The sequence below is a fragment of the Homo sapiens genome, chromosome 17 (assembly GCF_000001405.40).
Source record: "Homo sapiens chromosome 17, GRCh38.p14 Primary Assembly".
Taxonomy (NCBI): Eukaryota; Metazoa; Chordata; class Mammalia; order Primates; family Hominidae; genus Homo; species Homo sapiens.
This window is the reverse complement of record NC_000017.11, coordinates 56,938,199-56,957,036: the sequence shown is the minus strand read 5'-3', so window position 1 is coordinate 56,957,036 and position 18,838 is coordinate 56,938,199. Positions and strand designations below refer to the sequence as shown.

At 42.1% G+C, this 18,838-nt stretch overlaps 1 protein-coding gene and 1 pseudogene across 1 annotated transcript in view; one reads left to right on the top strand and one right to left on the bottom strand.

Annotated features, from left to right (window-relative positions):
• COIL (coilin) overlaps window positions 1-18,838 on the top strand; it is a 22,852-nt gene extending 4,014 nt beyond the window's left edge. Inside the window, exons 2-7 of the mRNA NM_004645.3 lie at window positions 6,041-7,148; window positions 7,270-7,356; window positions 7,603-7,650; window positions 10,526-10,595; window positions 14,914-15,002; window positions 17,883-18,838. Coding sequence (NP_004636.1) covers window positions 6,041-7,148; window positions 7,270-7,356; window positions 7,603-7,650; window positions 10,526-10,595; window positions 14,914-15,002; window positions 17,883-17,966 — 1,486 coding nt within the window. The 3' untranslated portion in view covers window positions 17,967-18,838. The remainder of the gene's footprint in view (window positions 1-6,040; window positions 7,149-7,269; window positions 7,357-7,602; window positions 7,651-10,525; window positions 10,596-14,913; window positions 15,003-17,882) is intronic.
• LOC100419768 (ribosomal protein S15a pseudogene) lies at window positions 4,594-5,389 on the bottom strand (annotated as a pseudogene).

Genomic DNA, 18,838 nt, shown 5'->3' with positions numbered 1-18,838 from the left:
TGGCCTCCCAAAGTGTTGGGACTACAAGCCTGAGCCACTGCCCCCGGCCTGAGAAACTCCCTTTTGAAGAATCAATTCTGTAAGGAAACAGTGCATTCTGTCTTCCCTGACCCTTTTAACTCTGGCAATTAATACTTGATGAAGGCTGGGCGCCATGTCTCATGCCTATAATCCAGCACTTTGGGAGGCTGAGGCAGGCAGATTGCCTGAGCTCAGGAGTTCGAGACCAGCCTCGACAACATGGTGAAACCCCATGTCTACAGAAAAATACAACAAAATTAGCTGGGCATGGTGGCACATGCCTGTAGTCCCAGCTGCTTGAGGGGCTGAGGTGGGAGGATCATTTAAGCCTGGGAAGTAAAGGCTTCGGTGAGTTGAGATGGTGCCACTGCGCTGCAGCCTGGGCGACAGAGTGAGACCCTACCTCAAAAAACAAACAAACAAACGAACAAAAAAACACATTGATTAAATGTTAGAGATGGGCCAGGCATGTTGGCTTATGCCTGTGATACCAACACTTTGGGAGGCCGAGGTGGGAGGATCACTTGAGTCCAGGAGTTTGTGAGCAGCCTGGGCAACACAGGGAGACCCTTATTCTACCAAAAAAACCCCAAAAAACAAACAAAAAAAATTAGCTAGGCTCAGTGATGGATGCCTGTAGTCCCAGCTAGTTGGGAGGCTTAGGTGAGAGGATCACTTGAGCCTCAGAAGTTGAGGCTGCAGTGAGCCATGATCGTGTCACTCCACTCCAGACTGGGCAGCAGAGCAAGACCGCATCTCAAACAAAACAAAATATTAGAGACGAGTTCTCATTTCATATTGCTGTAGTTAGTGGCTCCTTGGATAGTCCAAGATAAAAAGTTTCCTACTACTTTTATCATATACTTTTTCCCACACCTCACTCTCCAGAAGTATCCTTGGTTAAGTTTGGGGTATGGGGTATATCTTAGAGCCAGATTTCTATACATGTGCAACCATATGTACTTATACTTTTAAACTACAAATATCATAACATACTGTTCTGCACCTTGCTTTTTTACCTATCATGGGCTATCTCAGTATATAAAGTGTGTGATGTATGTCATTCTTTTCTGTTTGCTACATAGTGCTTTAGTGAATATTCTTGTATTTTTTTTGTACTTGGAAAATTATTCAGTTGGATTTATTCTTAGAAGAAATACTCATTGGTCTAAGAGAAGGTACATATAAAAATTGATAAGTACTGTCAAATTAGCTTCCAGAAAAGTTGTACAGACTTGTACAACTTTTAAAAATTCACCAACTTACCCATGATAGGACTAACAACATTCATTGTACTAATAAAAATTAGAGCTAACATTTGGATATCACTTGTTCTGAGTCAGGCATGCTCTCTCTGCATAATAAGTCACTGAGTACTGTAATTATTGTCATTATCCCCATTTTTATAGATGAGAAAGGCTGAGGTAATGATTTTAAAAAAAATTACAGTGGCAGAAATAGCATTTGAACCCAGGCATTCACGTTGGCCTTGGCAGGCAATGGGTAGGGAGCATCAGGTTGGACAGATGGGCATGTCAGTGTTTCTGCATAACAGAATCCTAGACAGTAAATTGTAGATTTTAAGGGTGGACTTAGATTTTGATAATACCACTCAGTTTGCCTTGCAAAGAGTTAGAATGAAAAGTGGGGATAGCTGGGCATGGTGGCTCACGCCTGTAATGCTAACACTTTTGGGAGGCCGAGGCGGGCGAATCAGCTGAGGTCAGTTCGAGACCAGCCTGACCAACGTGGCAAAACCCCATCTCTACTAAAAATACAAAAAGTTAGCCAGGCGTGGTGGCAGGCACCTGGAATCCCAGCTACTTGGGAGGCTGAGGCAGGAGAATCGCTTGAACCCAAGGGGAGGAGGTTGCAGAGAGCCCAGATCATGCCACTGCAGTCCAGCCTGGGCGACAGAGCAAAATTCCATCTCGAAAAAAGAAAAGTGGGGATCTGTTTTTTGGAATCAACTCTTTCGTCACTAGTGACCTAGGTAATTCACTTCTACTTGTGAAAGGACAAATGCATGCACTTTTGTTTGTAAAAGGATAGCTCTATTCTTTGTCTGTGATCCAGGTAAAGAAATAGAGAATATTGCCAGGGAAGGTGCACCTGACAGGAATGGTAACTAAGCAGACCCAGGAGAACCATTTCTTTTTCTCTGGATGGTATTTTGCCTCTCAATCTTAATATTTTCTTTTTTTTTTTCTTCCCAGATGAGGGCTCACTGTGTTGCCCAGGCTAGTTTTGAACTCCTGGGTTCAAGTGATCTTCCCTCTGCCTCCTGAGTAGCTGGGATTACAGGCATGTGCCACCACACCAGTTTATAATCTTAATATTTTAAAAACTGAAATTATTCTCTTGGGGAACAGTAGGTAGTGGGGCTGCAGGAATCACAGGTCATACCTTCAAGCCAAATAGCTGTAGATGCATGGTCTTTTTTTTTTTATTTTTTGGAGACAGAGTCTCTATCTGTCGCCAGGCTGGAGTGCGGTGGCGTGATCTTGGCTTACTGCACCCTCTGCCTCCTGGGTTCAAGCGATTCTTCTGCCTCAGCTTCCCGAGTAGCTGGGACTACAGGCGCATGCCACCATGCCCAGCTAATTTTTGTATTTTTAGTAGAGACTGGGTTTCACCATGTTGGCCAGGCTGGTCTCGATCTCTTGACCTTGTGATCTGCCCACCTCAGCCTCCCAAAGTGCTGAGATTATTACAGGCATGAGCCACCGCGCCCGGCCAATGCATGGTCTTAAGAATGGATGAGACGATGCTAAGAGCTGTTTTGGAAGGCGTGAGGGTGTTGCCAGCTTCCAGGAAAGGAAGGGGTTCTCATCAACTGGATGTTACATGTGCTGTTTTCCAGGGCCTTAATAAACCACAGTGACTGAACAGAGACTTGCAACCATTTTCAACATTTGACAGAAAGTTTGGTCCTATTTGGTCATCTCAGAATTGAAGCTTGGATCATTGCTACAAGTGAAAACAAATTGATCAGAAATGTCAAGAAAAAAATCTGATATTGTAGCGCTTCCATGGTAGTTCTTAGATTCACAGGATGCCAAACTGGCTTTTGCCAGATTAAGAATTATTTCCTTGCTATTAGATGCCAAGCTGGGAACAGAGGGGAATGTGTTTTTATAATTTAAAATCCCTGGTCACTCAGCATTTTATTTGTCTCTTTCTCCTACTCCTGATATCAGTAACTCTTATTTTATCTTGATTTGTTTGTCTGTATAGTTAGTTTTCTGACAAATAATTGAGGATTTTTTTCAACTACCGCATTGAGGTAAATCCACAGGATTACTATGCCTTAAAAAATTTAAAGAATGCTTGTCACATATGCTCCTATCATTCACCAGTTGTTCTTTATTTTCAAATATGATTGTCTACATCTTTCCCTGGCCACTGAAAAAACTTGATGAAATATATAGCTGAATGTAAATGCCTTGTAAGTATAATGTGTGTTTTCAGCAGTGGCGCAATTACAGCTCACTGCAGCCTGGACCTCCTGGGCTCTAGTGATCCTCCTACCTCAGGTAGCTGGGCCACAGGCATGCACCAACCATACTTACCTAATGTTTGTATTTTTTTTTTTTTTTTTTTTTGAGACGGAGTCTTGCTCTGTTGCCCAGGCTGGAGTACAGTGGTGTGACCTCGGCTCACTGCAAGCTCCACCTCCCAGGTTCACGCCATTCTCCTGCCTCAGCCTCCCGAGTAGCTGGGACTACAGGCGCCCGCCACCACGCCTGGCTAATTTTTTGTATTTTTAGTAGAGACGGGGTTTCACTGTGTTAGCCAGGATGGTCTCGATCTCCTGACCTTGTGATCCACCCACCTTGACCTCCCAAAGTGCTGGGATTACAGGCGTGAGCCACCGTGCCCAGCCTGATGTTTGTATTTTGTAGAGACAGGGTCTCCCTATGTTGCCCAGGCTGGTCTTAAACTCCTGGGCTCAAGCCACCCTACCACCTTAGCCTCCCAGAGTTTTGGGATTATAGGCATGAGCCACTGTGCCTGGCCAACAGGCATTTTTGAGTACTCACAATTTGCTTAACATTGAGGACAGTCTCAAGACTTCCATCATCATCAGACTGCACATACTAGGATTAGCTGTTGCCTGTTGATGGAGGAACAAAATTGCTTTCCTATAGTGAAATTTTGGATGAAGTAGGGTTATTCAGAGAAACATAACCAGTAAGACACACACACACACACACACACACAAATACTCACTCACAGACATGGGATTTATTGTAAGGAATTGGCTCATAGGATTGTGGAGATTGAGAAGTCCTAAGTTCACTTAGTAAGCTATAGACCAAGGAGAGCCAATGGTATATTTCTAGTTCAAGTTCGAGTTTGAAGGCAGGAGAAGACCGATGTCCCAGCTTGAAGAGTCAGGCAGAGAAATGAATTCTCCCTTACTCAGTCTTTTTGTTCTATTCAGGCCTTCAGTGGGTTGGATGAGGCCCACCCACATTGGAAACGGCAATGTACTTTACTCAGTCTAGCAATTTAAATGTTAATCTCATCCAGAAACAACCTTGCACATACTCCCAGCATAATTTTTTTTCCACTGAGGCAATATATTTGTAAATACGTATTACATCGTTATAAAAAGAATCCCAGGATTTTTCTTCCTATGTGTTTTCGTCTTGCTTCTTCGTGGTCTATGATGCCAGCCGAGGTTGTCAGTACAGTGAAACCAAACTGGTGGGATGGGAGCAGGTTATTCTGCCATTTTTCTAGATCTTTGAGTTGCACGTCAAATCTGAGGCTGATTATTCCATACTTGTTTAGCCTGCCTGTGAGGTTCACAACAGTTTTCCCAGCTCTATGATCATCAGTGGTTTCAGATTTGCCAGTGTAACCATGCTTCATCATTATAGTTAGAAACTGGACGATGGGGCTGGGTGCGATGGCTCATGCCTGTAATCTCAGCACTTTGAGAGGCCAAGGTAGGCAGATCACTTGAGCACTTGAGGCCAGGAGTTCAAGATCAGCCTGGCCAACATGGCAAAACCCCATCTCTACTAAAAATACAAAAATTAGCGAGGCATAGTGGCAGGCGCCTGTAATTCCAGCTATTTGGGAGGCTGAGGCACGAGAATCTCTTGAACCTGGGAGGGAGAGGTTGTAGTGAACTGAGAAATGCACCAGTGCACTTTGGCCTGGGTGACGGAGTTGGGACTCCGTCTCAAAAAAAAAAAAAGAAAAGAAAAATAAAAATAAAAAAAAGAAAACGGACAGTTACTTTGGAGCTCGGCCTAATAAGAACCTGGCATTTACCTTGCTTTTCAGCTTTGTTGATGCTCTTGAGAGCATCAGCCAAGACATTCATGTGCACCACTGTGGTGGTATGGAAAGAGCCAGCGTAATTTTAACCAGATATCTGGACGTCCAATAGCCCGGACAAATTGATACATAAAATTAAGCTTCACAGAGTGTTGTGGAATTGTACAGATGGCTGTCACTACCCTAGAGAACATAAATTGTTTAGTATTCACCTAAATTAAAACAGGAGTAAAATCTTATTAAAGAAAGAAGCCCACATTCTGAAACAAAATGGATAATCAGCATTATCACCTTTTAGGGTAGGTGACATGCATATTGTAGAAAGATTGTGAGTTTGAAGTTAGACAAACTGAAGTTTGAATTGCGTTTCTGCTACTTATCAGCTCTAGATTTGGGGCAAGTAACTTGTCTGAGCTGTAATTTTGCGATCTGTAAAATTAAAAATACCTACTTTGTGTTGGTGTTTAGATTAGAGAAAAACGTATTAAAAATGTTTAGGATGCAGTAGCTATTCAATAAATAAAACTAGCCATTTGAAAGTTGACTGTGAGTAATGCTACATAGGCCATTTTGCCAGAAAGAGTCTTTTGTCTTTAAGTGATGTGACATTTTTTCATTGACTGATGGTAGTTACATTTTGTAGAGTCATCTCAGTATATAACTATGTCCTGGAGATGTGTTTATAAATTGCTCACTCTAGCTTTCTCTCTTGTTCTTTTGACAGAGTTAAATTAGAAGAGAGAGGAGTTGCTGAGAATTCTGTAGTCATCAGTAATGGTGACATTAATTTATCTCTTAGAAAAGCAAAGAAGCGGGCATTTCAGTTAGAGGAGGGTGAAGAAACTGAACCAGATTGCAAATATTCAAAGAAGCATTGGAAGAGTCGAGAGAACAATAACAATAATGAGAAGGTCTTGGATCTGGAACCAAAAGCTGTCACAGATCAGACTGTCAGCAAAAAAAACAAGAGAAAAAATAAAGCAACCTGTGGCACAGTGGGTGATGATAACGAAGAGGCCAAAAGAAAATCACCAAAGAAAAAGGAGAAATGTGAATATAAAAAAAAGGCTAAGAATCCCAAGTCTCCGAAAGTACAGGCAGTGAAAGACTGGGCCAATCAGAGATGTAGTTCTCCAAAAGGTTCTGCTAGAAACAGCCTTGTTAAAGCCAAAAGGAAAGGTAGTGTAAGCGTTTGCTCAAAAGAGAGTCCCAGTTCCTCCTCGGAGTCTGAATCTTGTGATGAATCTATCAGTGATGGTCCCAGCAAAGTCACTTTGGAGGCCAGAAATTCCTCAGAGAAATTACCAACTGAGTTATCAAAGGAAGAACCCTCTACCAAAAATACAACTGCAGACAAACTGGCTATAAAACTTGGCTTTAGCCTTACCCCCAGCAAGGGCAAGACCTCTGGAACAACATCTTCCAGTTCAGACTCTAGTGCAGAGTCAGACGACCAATGCTTGATGTCATCGAGCACCCCGGAGTGTGCTGCGGGTTTCTTAAAGACAGTAGGCCTTTTTGCAGGAAGAGGTCGTCCAGGCCCAGGGCTGTCATCACAGACTGCAGGTGCTGCTGGATGGAGGCGTTCTGGCTCAAATGGTGGTGGACAGGCTCCTGGTGCTTCTCCCAGTGTGTCTCTCCCTGCTAGTTTAGGAAGAGGATGGGGTAGAGAAGAGAACCTTTTTTCTTGGAAGGGAGCTAAGGGACGGGGCATGCGGGGGAGAGGTCGAGGACGAGGGCATCCTGTTTCCTGTGTTGTAAATAGAAGCACTGACAACCAGAGGCAACAGCAATTAAATGACGTGGTAAAAAATTCATCTACTATTATCCAGGTAAGTATTATTTTTTGTAAGTTATCTCCTCCCTTTCCCCTTAGAATGTGTGTGGAGTTCATGTCATGGATTCACATTTTCTCACCAGTGATGATGTCACATGACTAACACTGTTTTTCAGAATCCAGTAGAGACACCCAAGAAGGACTATAGTCTGTTACCACTGTTAGCAGCTGCCCCTCAAGTTGGAGAAAAGATTGCATTTAAGGTATATTTCAAAAGAACAGTCACAGCAAAAAAGGTTCATTCCCCTTCCAAATAAACTTACTTAGAAAATCAGGTTAAATGTGTTTGTAAAAGCCCTTCCCACTGGAACCCCAGTGTTGTTACGGGTTCCTGGTAGGGCTCCCAGACTGGTCGGGGTGGACACGCCAACATGGCATGATGGAGGAGCTGTGGGAATGGGAGAGGATAAGAGGGCTTATGTATTTGTGGGTTTTTTCTTCTTTTTTAGCTTTTGGAGCTAACATCCAGTTACTCTCCTGATGTCTCTGACTACAAGGTAAGGATGTTTATTTAAAAGTAAGTTGTCAGTGTATTATTAAAACTAAAGTCATATTTAATACTACTTGTATGGATAATACAGATTTGTTTTTTTACTAAATAAAAATGCCAGAAAGTAGAAAATGAAAACATTAATCGAAATGTCAACTCTTTAATAGTATCACTGGGAAGTCTCCCTGTGTTATTTGCCTTATACTTGGGAAGAATAGAGTAGGAGAATGATGAGCTTAATTTTTACTTTTTTAAAAAAAATATATTAATTTTTTGTTTTTAAATAGCGACAGGATCTTGCTATGTTGCCCAGGTTGGTCTCAAACTCCTTGGCTCAAGCAATCCCCCCATCTTGGCTTCCCAAAGTGTTGGGATTACAGGTGTGAGCCACTATGCCCAGCCAGTTTAATTTTTTTAGTTACTTTTTTCTAATTAGTTTAGACCAACTTATTTGGGTATTCATTCCTTCATGATTCTAAACTTTGAAAGAAAATAATAAATAGTTCTCAGCAAGAAGATTTGATTATTTTCATCATGGGAATCTATTTTACATATTTGTGAATTACTTCTGGTTGTTATGATCTAGTATGATTTCTTCTGCATTATCAGGTAACCACAGGTAATTCATAAATATTATCCGTGGAATTTACTTACTTAATATCTGTATGAGTCTTTATATTGGCATGTGAGGTTTTTCATAGTTCAGTAAAAGCTTGACTCAGTCAGAGGGATCACAGAATTACATGTTTCTTTTTCACCCACCAACATTTTGTTGAAAATCTTGTTAAAGTGCATTCTTTCTTTTTTTTGATGTACTATATGGAATGTAAGACCATTTTTTAAGGTAATAATTGGTAGTGTTAATATAGTAACATAGATAAAATACAAGGGAATTTGATTTAATCTGGATTGATGCCTTGGAAGACTTAAAATCTTTATAGAAACCTTTCCTCAAGGCTGGGCTTGGTGGCTCCCACCTGTAATCCCAGCACTTTGGGAGGCCAAGGTGGGTGGATCACGAGATCAGGAGATTGAGACCATCCTGGCTAACACAGTGAAACCCCGTCTCTAGTAAAAATACAAAAAAAAAAATTAGCGGGGCATGGTGGCGGGTGCCTGTAGTCCCAGCTACTCAGGAGGCTGAGGCAGGAGAATGGCGTGAACCCGGGAGGCAGAGCTTGCAGTTAGCTGAGATCACACCACTGCACTCCAGCCTGGGTAACAGAGCGAGACTCCATCTCAAAAAAAAAAAAAAAAAAAATCTTTCCTCAAAAGCAGGCTGGAAGAATCAGTTAATGAAGGGATCTGGTGGGTTAGTTCTAGGTCGTTGGTGTTTTGTTTTTTATCTTCTTAGGCACTTACTATCTCCTATGGATGAGGTGATCATGTAATTTATCACCTGAATCAGGATACTTGTGAGTCAAAGGGATGCTATTAATAGTTATGCTGGAAAGATGTACAGACCTGTCTTGAACAAACCAGGGTGTTTTGTCACCCTACCATAGAAAACATTTAATTGTGTGATATATGAGGAAATGGAAATGAATATTGTATTGATACATCCCACAACCTCTATAAATTGTAATTCTAGATGATACTGATTTTTAAAAATTGCTTATTAATGGCCAGGCACAGTGGCTCATGCCTGTAATCCCAGCACTTTGGGAGGCCAAGGTAGGTGAATCACTTGAGGTCAGGAGTTCGAGACCAGCCTGGCCAACATGGCAAAACCCCATCTCTACTAAAAATATAAAAATGAGCCTGGCATGGTGGCGTGCACCTGTAGCCCCAGCTACTCAGGAGACTGAGGCACAAGAATCACTTGAACGCAGTAGGTGGGGGTTGCAGTGAGCTGAGATCATGCCACTGCACTCCAGCCTGGGTGACAAAACGAGACTCTTAAAAAAAATTGCATATTAAATTGGTATTAGTTGTCATAGTTATTAATGTTGGAAGGTGTTTTGCCTACTTTAGTTGGCAAAATTTTTTGAAGATTTTTGAAATTGCTTTCAAAAACATTTTAAGAATGAAAATTGGTCCTACTTTTTTGCTTTGACCTCAAACGCAGTTATCCAGCTTGATCATCTGCTTTATTCATTAACCTTGTCTCCAAAAATTAAATTGGTTCAATTCTGTACTAAAAAATGTAGTCTCCCAAGCCCCTGATTCCCTGTTGAGTCTGGTTTTAAAAAAAACTGTTGACTGTGCTCAGAAATTCCAGGTAGAGGCAGGAGGAACTGGTTGCTTGGCCTCTCAGTATATACCCCCGGAGGCTACCATGTGTCTCCCCATCGCCCACGTGCATGGGCAGTGCATCCTCTTGATGCATTAGAAAATCAGCTCCCACAGCTGGAGACCTGGGAGAAGGAGAATTGGGATCTTAACAGTGATAAAGTGCCTTCTGGTTTCTCCTGGGGGGTTGTGATCACTGTTTTAGAAGGGTTCTAAAAGCATCAGGAACCGAGGCTGCACCATTAGGATATATCTAGTCTCTCCTGATGAATGCTGTGATGGTCAGTGCTCACTTGAATATATCAGCCTGGTGTGATTTTTTTCTCCTTTTCCCTTATTCAGTCACTTTTGGTTCCCTGGTGTAATCTTTACTTTCATCGAGTTATTTAAGATAGTGTCTGCCATTTATGATTTAAATGTTTTATTTTGCCTCTAAAGATATTTCTGTATATTCACATAAAGTGTTTATCAGTCCACCTGTTTTTATTTTCTCTATATGTGGATTTATTTCTAAATTTTTCAACTGAGATAAAATTCACATAACATAAAATTCAACATTTTAACCATTTTAAAGTCTACAATTCAGTGGTTTTTAGTATATTCACAGTGTTTTACATGTTGATTTTGACTTGGACTTTTATTTTTGAAAGGAAGGAAGAATATTAAGCCACAATCCAGAGACCCAGCAAGTAGATATAGAAATTCTTTCATCCTTACCTGGTGAGTCTTTTAGAAAATAATTTGAAAATGTAGGCTCTATCTACAGTGGTTTATAAATAGCTTTTATACACAGGAGATGTTCTCTTCCTTGGCCTCCATATAACTGGCGCTCCCCACTTCTTTCAGCACACTTTAGCCCTGGGGGCTCATAAGAGATGTTGGATATATTCCAAAGCTGTTGGGCTAGTTCTTATTACTGTAATTATATAATTTCATAAAAGATTATATGAACTGATGAAAATCGATTATAAAAAGAATTATTCCTAGGAAGCCTAAGTTGAATGCTGACTCAGGAAATGCTATGAAATTATGGATGAGTGGGTCAGCTATAAAAGATTGGGAGGAATTTTGTAAAAACTGAGGAAGATTCTGCACTTAGATTGCCTTGCAAATTTTTGCAATCTTGCCTTATTTAAGAAAAACCCAGGCTGGGCACGGTGGCTCACACCTGTAATCCCTGCACTTTGGGAGGCCAAGGTTGGTGGATCACTTGAGGTCAGGAGTTTGAGACCATCCTGGCCAACATGGTGAAACCCTGTCTCTACTAAAAATACAAAAATTAGCCGGGCGTCATGGCACACGCCTGTAATCCCACCTACTGGAAAGGTTGAGGCAGGAGAATCGCTTGAACCCGGGAGGTGGAGGTTGCAGTGAGCCGAGATAGTGCAACTGCCTTCCAGACTGAGTGACAGAGCAAGACTTAGTCTCAAAAAATATTTTAAAAACCCCCAAACTGTAAATTGTGGAAATTGCAGACAATACAATGGTATGGTTTATTAAAAAAAGAGCTCTATTCAGTGAACTCATAAGACCTACTCAGCTCTATTTCAAAAGATTGTCAAATGAATATACTTTTGTATATTAAGTCAAAACAAAATGTCTGAAGTGTGTGTATACATACACTTTCACATATCATTTTAAATGGTTGCTGGATTTATCTCTGATGAACCCCACCTGGTACTGGAACTGAATGCGTGGAATAAGAGGGCTTTTATAATATGTAGCTTAACTTGGGGTGTACTGTAGGGGTCCCTGGCCAGAGGGCAGGGGAGATTCCTTTTCCTTTAGAAGATCCTAAAGCAATTAATTGTTTTCCTTTTTTTTTTGACAGAGTCTCACTCTATCGCCCAGGCTGGAGTGTGGTGGCACAATCTTGGCTCACTGCAGCCTCCGCCTCCCAGGTTCAAGTGATTCTCATGCCTCAGCTTGCAGAGTAGTTGGGACTACAGGCACACACCACCATGTCCAGCTAATTTTTGTATTTTTAGTAGAGATGGATTTTGACATGTTGGCCAGGTTGGTCTTGAATTCTTGGCCTCAAGCAATCCACCTGCCTTGGCCTCCCAAAGTGCTGAGACTACAGGTGTGAGCCACTGTGCCCAGCCTGTTTTCTGTTTGTTTGTTTGTTTGTTTGTTTGTTTATTTTTGAGACGGAGTGTTGCTGTCGCCCAGGCTGGAGTGCAGTGGCGCTATCTTGGCTCACTGCAAGCTCTGCCTCCCAGGTTCGCACCATCCTCCTGCCTCAGCCTCCCGAGTAGCTGGAACTACAGGCGCTGGCCGCCATGCCCGGCTAATTTTTTGTATTTTTAGTAGAGACGGGGTTTTACCATGTTAGCCAGGATGGTCTCGATCTCCTGACCTCGTGATCCACCCACCTTGGCCTCCCAAAGTGTTGAGGTTACAGGCATGAACCACCGCACCTGGCCTTCTGTTTATTTTTAGATAAGGGATTGAATAAAAGATTCAGCTAACAGAAATCAGTCGAAAGAGTTTTTGAACAAAGTTCGTTTATGATATTAAGTAAATGTTTATATATAACTTACACTGGGTTCCTACCTTTCTTTTTTTTTTGAGATGGAGTCTCACTCTGTTGTCCAGGCTGGAGTGCAGTGGGCGATCTCGGCTCAGTGCAAGCTCCGCCTCCCGGGTTCACGCCATTCTCCTGCCTCAGCCTCCCGAGCAGCTGGGACTACAGGCACCCGCCACCACACCTGGCTAATTTTTTGTATTTTTAGTAGAGATGGGGTTTCACTGTGTTAGCCAGGACGGTCTCGATCTCCTGACCTCGTGATCCTCCCACCTCAGCCTCCCAAAGTGCTGGGATTACAGGCATGAGCCACCGTGCCTGGCCAGGTTTCCAACCTTTCTTCTGATGAGATTTCATTTATAGAAATCCCCTTTCTTAGGAACGGTGGACAGAAAAGTTTGTCCACTGTCAAATTCTGTGCATACAGCCTGATCAGTGCTTGTCAGGTGATTAATAGTGATGACATCCACTTAGAACTTTTCTTCTTTAGGGCATCAAGAAATGGCTTCGGGGGCGAAGGTGGGAGGATCACTTGAGCCCAGGAGTTCAAGACCAGCCTGGGCAGCATAGTGAGACTCTGTCGTAAAAAAAAAAAACAAAACATAGCTGAGTGTGGTGGTACATGCTTGTAGTCCTCGCTACTTGAGAGGCTGAGGTGGGAGGATCACTTGAGCCCAGGAGGTCGAGGCTGCAGTGAGTCATGATTGCGTCACTGCACTCCAGGCTGAGTGAGCAAGACCCTGTCTCAAAAGCAAAAAAGAAAGAAAGAAATGGATTTATCTGTTCTCTAATAGCAATGTCACTTGTCCTTGATGTGGTGGTTCTGATATACATATATTTCAGTTACCCTGGTTTAGTTAAGTAATACTAGTCCCCCAGCAACATTGCATATGTTAACTGTAAGTGCATGAAGTACTGCTAGCTCTTTAGTCCACATATCACTATATAACATAAATAACAGATACGCGTCATGATCCATTACCAGTCAAGTCAGTACTTTCAGAGTCCGTCAGTGACTGGTCACTGTGCATCTGTTATTCAGTTCACATACAGAGCAGAGCATGCAGTTGTGGTGCCTCCTTGTCTCTCACTTATAAACCTGCATGACATTTTACAACACGTATAATCGAAGTAGGGAATTGGCCCACAAAGATAAAGGCACAGCAAAGAAACAAAAGTGGTAATGCTGAAAGTGCCATCCAAACTGAGTTTAAGGAGAGTCTGTAGAAGAAATAGCTCACTGTAGGAATGTTGACACTGCCAGTGAGGTGAACTTATTGACATAAATGAGGAAAGTGGTTGTGGCAAAAAGGATGAAAATGTCCCCAAAGTGACACCAGCAAAAACAAAGATTTTACAAAGTAAAAAACAAATTCTTTGAGCTATTTCACGACATTAGAAGTTCAAAGGATAAAATGTAGAAAGCAGTTTCAAACTTAGAAAAGAGTATAACAGTTGCACAAAGCATAGAGAAGATGCTTGCTCTGTATTGTAAGTTACAGGGCAAGAACACAAGCACTGTTCAAACTCCCCCTGATAAGTTTCTTACAAAGAAATAAAACGTGTAGAAGGAAAGAGAAAAAGAAAGTTAGTTCTTAGTGTTCCTAATGTAATTACAGTGTACTCATAAGTACAATATATTTATTTTACTATTTTTTAATTTCCCTATGTAGTAAAGGTTTTTAATGTTTTGGCAAAATTTTTTAAAACTCGTAAGACGATAATAATTTTTCCTATTGATTATTAAGATTGTTTTGCGTGGTTTCAGCTTGCACAGTCATTTTTCCAATCCCATTTTACCATAGAAAGCAAGGACTGAGGCCGGGTGTGGTGGCTCACGCCTGTAATCCCAGCGCTTTGGGAGGCCGAGGCGGGCAGATCACTTGAGGCCAGAAGTTTGAGACCAACCTGGCCAACATGGTGAAACCCTGTCTCAACTAAAAATACAAAAATTAGCTGGGCATAGTGGTGCATGCCTGTAATCCCAGCTACTCAGGAGGCTGAGGCACAAGAATCACTTGAACCCAGGAGGTAGAGGTTGTAGTGAGTCGAGATTGCGCCACTACACTACAGCCTGGGCGATAAAGCAGGACTCTGTCTTAAAAAAAAAAGGGGGACTGCCTGTGTTACCAAGTAGTAGGAAGCATATGTGATTTCTAAGGACAGAGCAGCATTTCATATTACCTTCCCTTGTTGAAACACATAAATTAATTAATTTTGGGGATTATCTTGTGGTGCCATATTCAATTCTGGTAGTACTAATGACAGTTCATCAAGCTTATGAAGGAAAGATTTTCTCTGATAAATGGCTGAGAAGTCCCCCTGGTCCAGAGTTTTTCTCAGGATCCCCCAGTATTGAGCACCCTGTGCTTTCCTGTACATACCCAGCCTTCACATTAATTGACAGTTTGTTTGTGGTTGTTTTCTTAATGATATAAATTCCCCATAGAGGAACATTTTTAACTATTGAAAAATGACTTACTCTCTTTCCTCCCTATCTTCTTGTTTCAGCCTTGAGAGAACCTGGGAAATTTGATTTAGTTTATCACAATGAAAATGGAGCCGAGGTAGTGGAGTACGCTGTGACACAGGAGAGCAAGGTAGGTGTGCTTCTCTTCTTGCGTTGCTTGGCCATTCGTTCTCTCTTGACCAATTACCTGTGGTTTGGAAGGTGACATTGCACTACAGGCCCTGGGGGGAATCTGACCTTCTTATGGTGTGGCAATACCAGTGCCAAATCAGGGCGCCATCTTGGCCCTCATAGAGCCTATGTGACAAGATGCACAAATAACAAACTTTTCTTTAAGAGTGTACAGTTGTTTAAAATTATAGCTATATAAGGATTCCAGTAGGAAAGGGTAGCATATTTAGAAACTTTATTGGCATACACGTTCAGAGAAGTGCATATAACTACATGGCTTGAACAACTTTCACATGAACATACCCATGTAACCAGACCCAGATCAGGAAATAGAACATAACACCCACTCCCAGAAGCCTCTATTATGTCCCCTTGCTGTCACCACTATCCCCCAAGTGTTACCACAGTTCCAACTTTTGTTTTTTTGAGAGAGTCTCACTGTGTTGCCCAGGCTGAAATGCAGTGGCATGATCTTGGCTCACTGCAACCTCCACCTCTCAGGTTCGAGCGATTCTCATGCCTCAGCCTCTGGAGTAGCTAGAATTACAGGCGCTTGCCACCTCACCCAGCTAATTTTTATATTTTTGGTAGAGACGGGGTTTTACCATGTTGGCCAGGCTGGTCTTGAACTGCTGACCTCAAGTGATCTGCCCACTTAGGCCTCCCAAAGTGTTGGATTACAGGCCACCGTGCCTGGGTGAGCCACCATGCCTGGCCCGAGAGTTCCAACTTATAATAGCACAACAGTTTGAAGAGTGACATAAAATGATGATCTCATCCTCTGACTTTCTTTAAATCCTTAAATTGCCATTTTGGGAAGTATATGGTTTATACCTTTTTTTTTTTTTTTTTTTTTTGAGACAGAGTCTAGCTCTGTCACCCAGGCTGGAGTGCAGTGGCGTGATCTCCGCTCACTGCAAGCTCCGCCTCCCGGGTTCACACCATTCTCTTGCCTCAGCCTCCCGAGTAGCTGGGATTACAGGCGCCTGCCACCACGCCTGGCTAATTTTTTGTATTTTTTTAACTAGAGACAGGGTTTCCCCGCGTTGGCCACGATGGTCTCAATCTCCTGACCTCGTGATCTGCACGCCTCGGCCTCCCAAAGTGCTAGGATTACACGTGTGAGCCACCGCGCCCGGCCGATTTATACCTTTTTAAGCAGCCAGACCTACCAGAGTTGCTGGCAGTGGCTAGCTCATTAGGTTATGGTGGCATTAAATGGAAGTTAGATTTAAGAAAATGCTCTCTTTTAAGGTGTTTATACTTGAAATGTTATAGATATTATTCTGTAAGTTTCAATATTGCAAACATATTTTTTCTGAAGTGTGAACTTGTAGAAACCCTAGCCAGACTGTGTTTTACCTTGTCTTTAAGGTAGATGACACTTTTAGGGATTTATTCCAGAAACACATTTTTAGTGTTTGTGGTAGGATCAGCAGATTTGGCCTGGTCTCCTGTATTTCTTTATTTGCAATAGTTTTTTTTGGTTGAAATTGGAAACCGCATTGGAAAATTAAACCTTGGAGGCTTTTCTCTCTATGCCCTAAACAGAGACTTGAAGTAGAATAGAAAGCCTGTAATTAGGCTGGGCACCGTGGCTCATGCCTGTAATCACAGCACTTTGGGAGGCTGAGGCGGGCCGATCCCTTGAGTCCAGGAGTTCAAGACCAGCCTGGGCAACATGGCGAGACCCCGTCTCTACAAAAAAATACAAAAATTAACCGGGAGTGGTGACACATGCCTGTAGTCCCAGCCACCTTTGGGGGTGGTGGGGGCGAGGCAGGAGGATCGCTTGAGCCCAGGAGGTGGAAGGTGCAGTGAGTCCTGAATGCCACTGCATTCCAGCCTGGACTATAGACGTGATACCCTATCTCAAAAACAAAAAGCCTGTAATTACCTTTTTTGACACTAGATGGCCCTCATTATTCATTCATAGGACCAAGCCTTAGAGTTTTTCTCTTGGTGGGCTGTGAAATAGTTCCTGTTTTTAGGTAGTGTAGGATAAGAACTACAGAGCGGCGCAAAAGGGCATCAGCAGCCTAATGATACCCATCTGGACCATGTCTAGTTGCCAGAAGGTCTCCAGGCCACCTGTCCACAGGGCAAATCAAATGCAGGGGTTGGGGGAGCTACTCCCTCCCGCAACCCCTGCATCTCCTGCTCTTAATCAAAGAAAGATGAAATATGTTTAATGTAAAATTTAGCTTCATTCTAAGTAAATGAGTTATTTATTTATTTATTTATTTATTTTCCCAGCACAGAGTTTCACTCTGTCACCCAGGCTGGAGTGCAGTGGCGCGATCTCCGCTCACTGCAACCTCCACCTACTGGGTTCAAGCGATTCTCCTGACTCAGCCTTCCGAGTAGCTGGGACTACAGGCATGCGTCACCATGCCCGGCTAATTTTTGTATTTTTGCAGAGACACAGGTTGGCCAGGCTGGTCTTGAACTCCTGACTTTAGATGATCCGACTGCCTTGGCCTCCCAGAGTGCTAGGATTATAGGCGTGAGCTACCATGCCTGGCCTCTTTTTTTTTGTTTTGTTTTTTAATTAAAAAAAATAATAGAGATGGGGTCTCACTAGGTTTCCCAGGCTGATCTTGAACTCCTGGGCTCAAGCATTTCTCCCCCTCGGCCTTCCAAATTGCTGGGATTACAGGTGTGAGCCACAGCGCCTGGCCTAAAGAGTTACTATACTGCAATTGAACTCAGTTTATTGGAACCCAAATTATTCCCGTTCTTCAATCATTCTACACAGACGGAAAATTTACGTGGCTGAATTAACCGGTATGACCTCAAAATGAAGTGCCTAAACTGGGTATTTTGTCTTTTTCCTCAGATCACTGTATTTTGGAAAGAGTTGATTGACCCAAGACTGATTATTGAATCTCCAAGTAACACATCAAGTACAGAACCTGCCTGAGTATGACCTCTCCACCTTATAGTTTATGAATGTCTTGTTTGTGAAAGTGACTATAACCCAAACTTTTTTTTTTTTTTAAAGAGGATTTGGAAGTTGTATGGATTTTTTTGTTATCTTCACTTTACTGCATAGGAAACAATCTACCTCATCATTTAAAATGACATGGGTGTCGGTTTTGTAGATCTTTGGTTTTTTTGTCAGGTTTAATTTCAGTTAACAAAATGTAAAACATGACATTCCCTGCAGATATTGTTGTATACCAGTATGGTTTCTTCTCTTTCTTTAAATGTTTTTGGCCATCAAGTAGCAGTCGTCAGTAGGAGTTTATAATACCAAGAATGTGCTGCGTATCTTGTCTCAATAAGTTTTAAGTAACATTTAAAAATATTAAAGCATGTTATTTGACCTAATTTTTTAGCATTTGAGTTGTTCCATTAAATGGAGCATCTTGTAAATTTCAAGTATTTTATACTTGCAATTGTTAAGAGTTAACAGGTAGTTGGATTTGTCGCAGACAATGAGTTAAGGAATCCTTTCACGTTTTTCCCAACTTTAAAATTAAGGATTCTCAGGTCCCTGTGTAGAGCAGTGAAAATAAGATGTGCGTATGTGTGTGTATGCCTGGAGAATTGGTGTTTCACTTCAGTGAGAGGATTGGCTGTGAGCTTCAGACCAGGAAATGTGTCATCTTGCCAGGCACCTGGCTGAGTGTGCTGGAGTGAGGATCTTGAACAGAAACTTCCTTTTCTGTTATTATTCACTACGAAGCTAAAATGGCCAAATATATACCGTGAAAATTGGTTTCATTTAACAAAAGATCAGATCCCTCCTTCAGCTGTACACATTTTTAAATAAAATCATATTGAACTAAA